Below are 12,289 nucleotides of genomic sequence, written 5' to 3' on the forward strand. Positions count from 1 at the left end.
ATGAATGGGGCACTTCTCCTGGGCTACTTTTTCTGACCCAGGAAGCTGCCTGCCTCTTGAGCTGGAGAACCCGGCTGGCCTTCCCTGGCCTGGAACTCTGGCGCTGCCCCCAGCACGTTTCCGTGAAGGACGGAGCTTCTGGGGCAACTCAGGAAGAGCAAGGCAGGAACTTCCATCCTCTGCCCACCTGGGGGAGACTGACTTCTGGGTCCTTATTGTGGCTCCCAGCGGAGTTGGGATGCCAGGGAAACGCTATCGGCCACTCTCAAAATGAGGTGTATATTTAATATAACTTTGCTCCAAATTCCAGGTTTCCTGGAACCGAAACAAAATGTATTTTCCATATAAATTTCAAACAAACTTATATGAAAAAATTAAAGTTTAAAAATTGTCAAAACTTTTAGAAATGAAAAAACCTGAGAAAGTGACTGTCGGACATTAAAATGTAGCTCAGAAGGTCCAGTAATTAAAACAGCACGGTTTAGGACACAGATCCACAAGGCAGAAATAAACGTGTAGAAACAGATCTGAGTCTAGTGCTTATGGCAAGCACTAGAAAAGGGGGCCTTTGAATTAGATGGAAAGGTGTATTGTTTCATAAACGAGGTGGTAACCATTACTTAAGTCTTCGAGATAAAGTAACCTTAGCTCTCTCCCTGTATGCAAAAATAAGTTGAAGATGGCTTGAAAATCAAAATATAAGGAAAGTCAAAACAGAAAAATTATAAAAATATCAGCAAAGAGTTCTGGATGATTTTTGTATAACCCTGGAGTAAGAAAGACTTTTTAAAGCAAGACAGGAACATTTGACAACTGACTTCACAAAAATTTATGAACTTCACGTTGCAAAAGACACGATAAACACAAAATTTTAAAAGACAGACTGAAAGAAATACGTTGGAAACACACAGATCAGAGAATTACTATCCCTAATGTGCAAAGAGCACTTAATATCGACAATACAAACAACTCCATTTAAAAGTGTGCAAACATTTGAAAAGCTAATTCATACAAGAGGAACTGTGAAACAGTAAAAAAGAGAATGACAATGTGTTCAGTCTCATTAGTAATAAGGAAAATGCACATTGAAACAATTAAAAGTGTTATTTGGATAAAACTAAAAATACCTTGCTAATATCTGGTGCTGAAAAGAGTGAGGAAATTGAAGGAAATTTGCATTGTTTAAACCTTTTGGTAAAGTAAGCAAAAAGAAACTATGAGGATTTAAAATGCAAATGCCCTTTGACTTTTAAGTGTTCTACAGAAACAAAACAATATTGTCAGTATCTGACAACCTTGGCACAAAGGTGCTTCTTGCAATTTTGTTTGCAAAACCTAAACTTGGTCATAAACTTAATATCCTGTAGTGAACAATGGTTGACTAAGCCACGGTATATGCACATCATGAGAGGGTGAATTTCCTGACAAGAATAAAACACATCTATATGAAACGTCATGAGTGTAATCTATGCCATATTGTTGAAGAAATTAAAATTCAGGAAGGGAGGTGCAGAATATTTTTAACCTATACTATCATCTTCAAACTGATACAATCAGCATGTAATAAGGTTATAAGTTCTGAGTATAAGTTAGGTATTAAATTCTCCCCCATCTAAATGTTGCTCCATGGCCAGACACAGTGACTCATGTCTGTAGTCCCAACACTTTAGGAGGCTGAGGCAGGCAAATAGCTTGAGCTCAGGAGTTCGAGACCAGTGTGGGCAACATGGTGACACCCCATCTCTACAAAAGTTGGCTCAGCGTGGTGGCATGAGCCTGTGGTCCCAGCTACTTGGGAGGCTGAGGTGGGTGGACTGCAAGAATCCAAGTGGCAAAGGTTGTAGTGAGCTGAGATTGTGCCACTGCACTGCAGCCTGGGTGACAGAGAAAGACCCTGTCTCAAAAAAAAAAAAAAATGTTGCTCCATGATCCAGGGCAGCTGGGTTGGGAGGATGAGGCCAGCTGGGTGCACTCATCTGTGAGGGGGAGACCGGGAGGCATGCGGTGACCTCAGCAGTCTGGGGTCCCAGGTGCCTCTAGAGGAACCCCAAGCAGCTCCGAGCCATGAGGTGTGGGTGCTCCTTCTTCCCAGCACGAGCAGCCTCCCTCACACACCCTCCCTGAATAATGTCGGCCGTGTCACTGGGCTTATGTCCACTGGGCCCTACCTGGTTTGGCCATCTGGCCCCCCTGAGCAGCATGACCTACTGGAATGGTGGCAGAGACCCCAGAGGTCCTAGGCCAGGACGGCTGCAGCTGCTGTGTGCCCAGAGAGCACGGGGCTGTTCTGTGCAGGCTGGGGCGGGGGCTTCCCCTGTGGGGCCGGCTGGGACTCCCTGCAGTGATGGGAGGAATATGGCAGGCAGGCTGGGGACTGAGATGTGAGGTGAAGGCAGGAAGGAGGCTGTGTCAGTGTGAGAGAGTGTGACTGTGTGCGAGTGTGTGTGTGTGCACATGCCTGTGTCTGTGCACCTGGGGTGGTTTGAGCCAATGACTCTTACCTTTCCACTTCATTTTCTTTTAGGTTGTATTAAATGGTTCTAGATGAAACTTTAGTAGAGTGTAGGAGCGCAATATCTAAACCCTAAAACTCTGGAAAATGTTGTATAAAGCTGCTTTTCAAAATATAAAGTTAATATATGTTCATTTTATGGAAAGGAAAATGCAATAGCAAACAAGGAGTAAATAACTTACTCAGCATCATGTGTGAGTAGATTTCCTATTACTCTATGTTCTGTGAGAAGTGTATCCTGTACTTGAGATTCTCTGGGAAGAATATGCATTTGTCATGGCTGTACAATTTTATTTCATCACGGGAACAGGGTACCCTTTAGAATGTGTGCTTAAAACTGGATCATGGTCCTCTTTATAAGGGTCTTCTTTCAGCTTTTTAGTTTGGAGGGTGAAAAAGTGGTGTGCAGTTGGGCTGGAATTGTGCAGTGTTGGGGCAGAGCTGTCATCAGTGGATGTATTTAGAGTTGAAATGACAAGATCTGACTCTCAATGAAACACTATTAGAAACATTAAAAAACATTCAGGCTCACAACATTACATGTGTTTAAAGAAAGAAAATAACTACGCTTGGCCTTATTTTTGTGCGTAAGTTCAAATGTTAGTTATAAAGAATTCTATAATTTTTTCAAGTAAGATCAGTGCAATAAGCCACATGAATGGCTATAAATGTTCAGTGAAGCATTTCTACTTTCCCTTATGTCATCAGAATATTTGAACATGTTAAATAGAGAACATATTTTCCTAGGTAATTTGAGTTCAGGCAAGTGTACAGACAGATAAAACGTTCCCATTAAACTTACGAACTTACCCAAGTGTAGATGTACTCGGGGCATCATCTGCTTCCTGTGGGGGGAAGGGAAGCAAAATTCTTAGGATGAACAAAGACCTTGTTGACATTAAACTTATTCTTAAACAAAATTCAAGTTCATTACTAGTCAGTTCTGAGTAATGGTACTTCAAGAATGCCTGGATCATGGAATAGGATCTCAGTGGTGGCACAGCACGCTTCCTCCCAATCCTTGTATTATGGGCTGAACTATATCCTCCTCCAAATTCATAGGTTGACATCCTGACACCCAGTACCTCAGAATGTGACTATATGTGGAGACAGGGTCTTGAAAGAGGTAATGGATGTTAGATGAGGCTACTAGAGTGAGCCCTAATCCAGAGTGACTGGTGTCCTTTTATGAAGGGGAGATTATAACAAAGACACAGACAGAGGGAAGACTGTGAGAGGACACAGAGAACAGGTGGCCGTCTACAAGGCAAGGAGAGAGGCCTTGGGAGAAACCAACCCTGCAGACACTGTGCTCTGGGACTTCCAGCCTGCAGATATGTGAGAAAATACATTTCTTGTTCCAACGCCCCATGTGTGGTTCCTGCTTGTGGAAGCTCTAGCAAAGAAAAACACCTGCTATGTGTGCACACACATGTTGTTCTCAGTGCTCTTGGTTAAGAACCTGGGAGTGGGAGTGCTGGCTCATATGATAAGTACATGCTCAGCATCTGAAGCTTTGCCAAACTGCTCGCCAATGTGGCATCATCTTTCATCCCCATGAGCAATGGATGAGACTTCCAGTTCTCCAAACTCTTCACCAACACTTGATATTGATCACCTTTTTTTATTTATATTTTTTAGAGGCAGGGTCTTGCTATGTTGCCCATAGTGGTCTCAAACTCCTGGCCTCAAGGGATCCTCCTGCCTTGTGGGCCACCCAAAGCTCTGGGATTTCAGGTGTGAAGCTTTGTGCCTGGATGGTACCCTTAATCTGCTTTCTTGCAGCTACTCTAATGGGGTGCAGCAGTATCTTATTGTGATTTTAGCTGGTGGTTCCCTGGTGGCAAATGATGTTGAGCACCATTTTGTGGGCTTTATTTCTCATGGATATTGTTGCCTTGGTGAAGAACGTGTTCAATCTTTCACCCATTTAAAAACTGAGCTGTTGTGTATTTTTGAGTTTTCATGGTTCTTTAAATATTCTGGATAAAAGTATATGACTTGTAAATATTTTATTTCAGCCTGTGGCTGATATTTTCATTCTTTTACTGGTGACAATGGAAGAAACAATTTTAAATGCTTAAAGTCAAATGTATCCGTTTTGTGAAATAGTGTTTTTGGTATCTATCAAAGAAGAGTTTGCCTAACACAAGACTCCGGAGATATTCTAGGATTTTTGTAGGAATGTTAAAGTTTCCCCCTCTTACTATGAGGTCTCTGATGGATTGTGCACTGCTTTCTAGGTGGGACTGAGCTGTGTGTGTGTGTTTGGCATGTGGTTATGCAGCTGCTGCAGCACAGTCATTACAAACCCTTCCATGTCTCCCCATTGCCTCACCTTGGCACCTTCCATTTAGGCCAAACACCAGAAATGTAAAGAAGGGCTTGTTTCTGGAGTTTCCAGTTTGTTCCATTCATCGAGTCAGGGTGTCTTCTTTGGACAATGCTGTCTGCAGCCCTGGGCCCACTCGAAGGGGAGGCGATGGACTGTAGGTCTGTGGAGCTCAGCACAGGGCTGTGCCACGGACTTGGGTGTCAGTGAAGTCACGCTCATTTTCAGACGGAATTCTCCTCCCCGATGTGAACAATGAACCGACGGTGTCATTTTCATAGGATTGTCCTGGAGCCCACGGAGATGCGGGCTTGGGATTCAACGTGATGCTGAGCGGATCTTCTCTGCTTCAGACCAGGCCTCATGTGGCTTCACTATTCATCCACACATAGATGCTGCAGAGACACCGAGGGGACTCACAAATGCACCTGTGCAGAAGGTGTCAACGTGGACAATCGCAGGCAGAGAAACTCCCATGAGCCCGTGTGCCACATGCAGTGAGGGAACTTTGGTGGCTGAGTCTGGGCGGGGGTGGGCTGGGGGCTCGATTGGTTTCCACTGAGTGTCTCCAAATCTTTGCTGGAAGTGCAGGCAAGGGGCAAGTCTTGGACACCAGCCTCACTGTTCCTCCAGGTTGGGTGATCCATTTTCATTTCCAAGTCACAGGAGCCTGTTCCCTGAAATCCTGGGGAAGTGCGGTGAGGCGGCCCTGCCCCCACAGGGAAGGACAAGTCACCTGTAACCTCCAGAAACTGGCCCCCTCACAAATCCTGCTCAAAAGGACCAGCCTGTGGCCTGGCATGGAGGCTCACGCCTCTAATCCCTGTGCTATTAGAGGCTCACGCCTCTAATTCCCCTGAGCCTGGGGAATCACTTGAGACCAGAAGTTCCAAACAAGCCTGGACAAGAGAGTGAGATCCCATCTCTTAAGAAATAAAAAACAAAAAATAAATTGGCTGGGTGTGGTGGCACACACCTGTACTTTCGGCTATTCGGGAGGCTGAGGTGGGACAATTGCTTGAGCCCAGGAGTTGGAGGCTGCAGTGAGCCATTATCCCACCACTGCCATCCATGTTGGGTGATGGAGTGAGATCTCATCTCTAAAAAATAAATAATGACCCAGCAGAAACCACTGGAAGCTGACCCCAGAGCAGGAACAGAAATATGTGGCCCTAAAGCCGGCAGCCGCGCTGGTCTTTTCCTGTGAAGGATGGACACAGAGTCCATGTAACAAACACACACCATTCACACACATATACAACTGACCACACACTACACACAAAACCACACACATAACCACACCCCCCCACATATGTGCAACCACACACCATACACTTGTACGTGTGACCACACACACATCGTCTATTCCCATCTGTCTCCCACACACAGTCCTTCCTGAGCATTTTATTTTAAAAACACAGCATGTGGCTTCTGCCATGGCTACCAATCTCCTTCCATCCTTTATCACAGCACTGTCCCTCGCTGCATGTTCTGGGCACTTCAGACCCTGCCCTGGGCATCTGCCCATCACCGCAGCTTCTTGGTGGTGCTCCAGTGCTGGGGGCTCCCACTTTGGTACCCATCTGTCTCTGTCACCCACAGCTGGGAAGCATTCCTGCCTCTCACTCCATCTCTCTTCTGTGCTCCACCCACCATCATTCCCATGTGAGCAGCACCCTTGGACACAGAGTGCTTCTATTCTGAATACTGCCTTAACCTCAGCTTGGGGGACCCGAGACCACATATTCTGCACACGGCCCTGTCCTCAGGGTGCATTGCTGGTGACTGCAACTTACCTGTGCCTTCGAATCCCCGTCCTGGTTTACTGAAGTGCAGAAGTGACATGGGCATTTGTAAATCAGCAGGGAGCTCTTGGCCTTGACTCTGGTGGGACAGGAAGGAGGAGAGAAACTCATCTCAGCTTTGTGGGGGGGCTCAGGGTGGCACTGGAGGCTGCACCGCGTCGTGTCAGCACCACTGCTGTGGGGCACACATGTCTCAAAAACTTGTAGACCAGCAGCTCCTGGGAGGTTGTCTAAGTACTCCTGCGTTATGTGCAGTGGCACACGTAAGAAGCTTCTCGTGTAAAGGACCATGACTCTTTGCCACTGGGACAATGCAAAGCAGTCCCTCCACCCACCGTGTGAGACTTGCCCTACACCAGTGCCTAAGACGGGTTCTGAAGAGTGATGGCAGATGGGAGACAGGTCTGATATGCAGCTCCCACATGGAGAGACAGAACAGCATGTGGAGACTCATACTGTGGCCTTTCACTCCAGGAACCACCACAGCAGCATACCAGAAAAAACAAAAAGTCACAGAGCCTTTGGAAGATGCCATAGGCCACTGCAAATTCCACAGAACAGGTGACAACTCCGCTGCTGTCTCAAAAGTGCCACCTCCTGGCTGGAGGCCAATCAGCTCAGGACATGACAGCAACTCATGACAGAACAACCCTGCTCCTAGGAAGGAGAAAACAAGAGCTTATTCCACCTCCTGCAACATCCTGGATAACCAGAGGTCCTGAGTCTGCCCATGTGACAACTTCACTGCTAGAATAACCAGCCTCTGAGAAAGTCAGCACAGTAAACCTATCGGCCGCCGAGGACCTCCACAGAGTCCACTTCGGTCCCCTGTCACCTCCACCGGAGCAGGTGCTCGCATCCACAGCTGGGAGACCTGAGGACGGATCACATCACAGGACTCTGTGCAGACATTCCCCAGCACCAGCCTGGTAGCCCTGCTGGGTGGAGAGACCCAGAAGAACAATAGCAATCACTGCTGTCTGGTTTGCAGGAAGCTCCATCTCTAGGGGAAGGGGCAGTGCACAAATCAGGGACCACCCCATGGGACTAAAGAATCTGACCAGCAGCCTTGAGTTCCAGATTTTCCCACTGAAATAATCTACACACATGAGAAGGAATCAGACGAGTAATCCTGGTAATATCATGAAACAGGGCTCTATTCCACCCTCAAAAGACCACACTAGCTCCCCAGTGAGAGATCCAAACCAAGAAGAAAATCAGAATTGCTGGAAAGAATTCAGAAGGTTGATTATTAAACTACTCAAGGAGATACCAAAGACAGGTGATAACCAACTTAAAGAAATTTAAAAATCAATACAGGATATAGATGAAAAATGCTCCAGGGAAATAGAGATCCTAAAGAAAACACAGTCACAACTTCTGGAACAAAAGACACACTAAGAGAAATGGAAAATGCACCAGAAACTTTCAACAGCAGGATCTAACAAGTAGAACAAAGAACTTCAGAACTCAAAAACAAGGCTTTTTAAATAACCCAGCCAGACAAAGAGGAAAAAAATAATTTTAAAAAAGAACAAAGCCTCCAGGAACTTAGGGATTATGTTAAACAGCCAAACCTAAAAATAGTGTTCCTGACAAAGCAGACAAATCCACAAGTTTGGAAAACTTATTTGAGGAAATGATCAAGGAAACCTTCCCTGGCCTTGCTAGAGTTCTAGACATCCAAAGACAAGAAGCTCAAAGAATGCCTGGGAAATTCATTGCAAAAAGATCATCACCGAGGCACATGGTCATCAGGTTATCTACAGTCGACACAAATCAAAGAATCTTAAGAGCTGGGAGGCAAAACATCAGGTAACCTCTAAAGGAAAACCTCTCATATTAGCAGCAGATTTCTCAGCAGAAACTCTACACACTAGAAGGGATTGGGGTCCTATCTCTAGCCTCTCCAAGCAAAATAATTAACAGCCAATAATTTTGTATTCAGCAAAACTATGTTTCCTAAATGAAGTAGAAAAAATGTCTGTTTCAGAACAACAAATGCTGAGAGAACTAGCCACTAACAAGTCAGTCCTACAAGAAATACTAAAAGGAGTTCCAAATCTTAAAACAAAACCTCAAAATACACCAAAACAGAACCTCCTTAAAGCATAAATCTTACAGGACTGAGAAAACAGTAACACAAATTAAAAAACCAAGGTATTCAGGCAACAACTAGCATGATCAATAAAACAGTACCTCACATCCAAATGCTAACACTGAATGTAAATGGCCTATAAGCACCATCTAAAAAATACAGAGTGGAAGAATGGAGAAAAATCCACCAACCAAGTATCTGCTGTCTTCAAGAGACACACCTAATGTATAAGGACTGAAATAAACTTAAGGTAAAGTGGCAGAAAAGATATTCCATACAAATGGAAACCAACAGCAGGCAGGAGGAACTATTCTGATACCAGACTCAACAGACTTTAAAGCCACAACAGTTAAGAAAGACAAAGAGCAACACTATACGATGATAAAAGAATCACTCCAAAAGGAAAAATATCACAATCCTAACTATATATGCACCTAACGAGGAACCCCCCAAATTTATAAAACAATTCTTACAGGACATAAGAAATGAGACTGATGAAAACACAATTATAGTGACGGACACAATACTGCACTGATAGCACTAGACAGGTCATCAAGACAGAAAGGCAACAAAGAAACAATGACCTTAAACTATATCCTAGAACAAAAGGACTTGACAGATATTTACAGAACATTCTACCCAACAGCTGCAGAATGTACATTCTTTTCATCAGTACATGGAAAATTCTCCAAGATACATCATATAATAGGCCACAAAACAAGTTTCAATGAATTTAAGAAAGTCAGAATTACATCAAGTATCTTTTCAGACCACAGGGGAATAAATTGATAATTAACTCCAAAAGGAACCCATGAAATTACACAAATATGTAGAAATTAAATAACTGCTTCTGAATGATCTTTGGGTCGACAATGAAATCCAGAGGGAAATTTAAAAGTTCTTCAAACTGAATAACTGTGGCATGACTTATCAAAACCTCAAGGACACAGCAAAAGTGATGTTTAAAGGAATGTTCACAGCATTAAATGGCCACATCAAAAAGACTGAAAGAGCACAAACAGACAATCTAAAGTCACACCTGAAGTAACCAGAGAAACAAGAACGAATCAAACCCAAACCCAACAGAAGAAAAGTAATAACGAACATCAGAGCAGAACTAAATGAAATTCAAACAAAAAAACAAAAAAACCACAAAAGATAAATCAAAAAGCCAGTTTTCTGAAAACACAAACAAAATTGATTGACCATTAGCAACATTAAGCAAAAAAAGAAAAGATCCAAATAAGCTCAATTAGAAATGAAATGAGAGATAGCACAACTGATACCACAGGAATACAAAAGATCATTTAAGGCCAATATGAACACCGTTATGCACACAAACTAGAAAATCCAGAGGAGATGGATAACTTCCTGGAAATATACAACCCAACTAGATTAAATCAGGAAGAAATAGAAACTCGTAACAGATTAATAACAAGTAGCGAGATTGAAACAGTAATAAAAAAATTGCCAACTAAAATATCCAGGATGTATTCACAGCTGAATTCTACCAGGCATCCAAAGAAGGACTGGTACCTATCTTATGGAAACTATTACAAAAGATAAGAGGGAATCGTCCATAAATCGTTCCATGAAGCCAGTATCACCTTAATACCCAAACCATGAAAGGACATAGCAAAAAGAGAAAACTACAGACCAATATCCCTCATGAATATAGATGCAAAAATCCTCAACAAAATACTAGCGAACCGAATCAAACAGCATAGCAAAAAGATAATAACACCATAGTCAAGTGGGTTTCATACCACGTATGCAGGAATGGTTTAATATATGCAAGTCAATAAATGTGATAAATCACAAAAACAGAATTAAAAACAAAAAATCAGAGATCATCTCAATAGATGCAGAAAAAGCATCTGACAAACTCTGCCATCCCTTTATAATAGAACACTCATCAAAATCAGCACAGAAGGGACATACCTCAAGGTAATAAAAGCCCTCTATGACAAACCCACAGCCAACATTATACTGAATGGGGAAAAGTTGAAAACATTGCCCCTCAGAACTGGAATAAGACAAGGATGCCCACTTTCACCACTTCCTTTCGACACAGTACTGGAAGATCTAGCCAGAGCAATCAGAGAAGAGAAAGAAAAAGCATCCAAATTGGTAAACAGGAAGTCAAATTGTCCCTGTTCACTGATGATATGGTTGTATACCTAGAAAACTCTAAATACTCATCCAGAAAGCTTCTAAATCTGATAAATGAATTCAGTAAAGTTTCAGGATACAAAATCAATGGACACAAATCAGTAGCATTGCTATGTGCCAACAATGACCAAGCTGCGAATCAAATGAATAAGTCAACCCCTTTTGCAACAGGTGAAAGAAAAAAAAACAACTTAGGAATATACCTAACACAAAAGGTGAAATATCTCTACATGGAAACTACAAAAACCTGCTGAAAGTGAACATAGAAAACGCAAATAAATGGAAACACATCCCAGGCTCATAGATGGGTAGAATTACTATTGTGAAAATGACCATACTGCCAAAGCAATCCACAAATTCAATGCAATTCCCCTCAAAGCAGAATCATCTTTCTTCACAGAACTAGAAAAAACAATCCTAAAATTCATATGGAACCAAAAAAGACCCCAGATAGCCAAGGAAGACTAATCAAAAAGAACAAATCTGGAGGCATCACATTACCTGAATTCAAACTATACTACAAATCTAGAGTTACCAAAACAGCAGGGAACTAATATGGAAATAGGTGTGTAGATCAATGGAACAGAATAGAGAACCCATAAATAAAGGCAAATACTTACTGCCAATCGATCTTCAACAAACAAAAGACATCAAGTGGGGAAAGGACATCCTATTCAATACAAGGTGCTGGGATGATTCACAAGCCACATGTGAAGAATGAAGCTGGATCCTCTCCTCACACCTTTTACAAACATCAGCTGAGGATGGATAAAAGACTTAAGACCTGAAAGCAAAATCTACAAGATATCATCAGAAAAACTTTTCTAGGCATTGACTTCAGCAAAGAGCTCATGACGAAGAATCCAAAAGCAAATGCAACAAGAACAAAGATAAATAGATGCAATTTATCTTAATTTATCTTTATTTTAAATAAGTACCTTCTGCACAGGAAAAGAAGTAATAAGCAGACTAAATAGAACCCAGGGATAGGAAGAAAATATTCACAATCTGTACTTCTGACAAAGGACTAATATCCAGAATCTAAAAGGAACTCAAACAAATCCGCAAAAAAAAAACAAATCATCCAATTGGGTGTGGTGGCTCATGTCTGTAATCCCAGTCCTTACAGAGGCTGGGGCAGGCAGATCACTTGAAGTCAAGAGTTCAAGACCAGCCTGGCCAACATGGTGAAACTTGTCTCTGCTAACGACACAAAAATTAGCTGGGCGTGCTGGTGGGTGACTGTAATCCCAGGTACTTGGGAGCCTGAGGCAAGAGAATCGCTTCAACCCAGGAGGCAGAGGCTTCAGCGAGCCAAGATCATGCCCCTGCACTCCAGCCTGGGTGACAGAGTGAGACTCTGTCTCAAA

At 42.9% G+C, this 12,289-nt stretch overlaps 1 protein-coding gene across 13 annotated transcripts in view, besides 1 other annotated feature; it reads right to left on the minus strand.

Moving 5' to 3' along the window:
* The window catches only part of ZDHHC11B (zDHHC palmitoyltransferase 11B (putative)), a 74,375-nt gene that overhangs the window by 16,757 nt on the left and 45,329 nt on the right, over positions 1-12,289 (minus strand). For 7 of the 13 annotated variants that reach the window (XM_017010111.2, XM_017010110.2, XM_017010115.3 and 4 more), the window contains 3 exons: positions 6,641-6,728; positions 4,851-6,045; positions 3,323-3,357 (listed from right to left, as the gene is read on the minus strand). In XM_017010111.2, the coding sequence (XP_016865600.1) occupies positions 5,896-6,045; positions 6,641-6,728 (238 nt within the window). In that variant the 3' untranslated portion in view covers positions 3,323-3,357; positions 4,851-5,895. The remainder of the gene's footprint in view (positions 1-3,322; positions 3,358-4,850; positions 6,046-6,640; positions 6,729-12,289) is intronic. The other 6 variants (NR_147096.2, NR_147095.2, XM_017010116.3 and 3 more) reach the window with 3 other exon arrangements.
* Positions 123-623: an enhancer, noted in NCBI's record as "H3K4me1 hESC enhancer chr5:727349-727849 (GRCh37/hg19 assembly coordinates)". NCBI's record gives its function as "activates a minimal SCP1, AML or CMV promoter by ChIP-STARR-seq in primed H9 embryonic stem cells {active_cell/tissue: H9 hESC(primed)}" and the evidence as "EXISTENCE:reporter gene assay evidence [ECO:0000049][PMID:30033119]".

This window comes from Homo sapiens, chromosome 5 (genome assembly GCF_000001405.40).
Source record: "Homo sapiens chromosome 5, GRCh38.p14 Primary Assembly".
NCBI classification, from domain to species: Eukaryota; Metazoa; Chordata; class Mammalia; order Primates; family Hominidae; genus Homo; species Homo sapiens.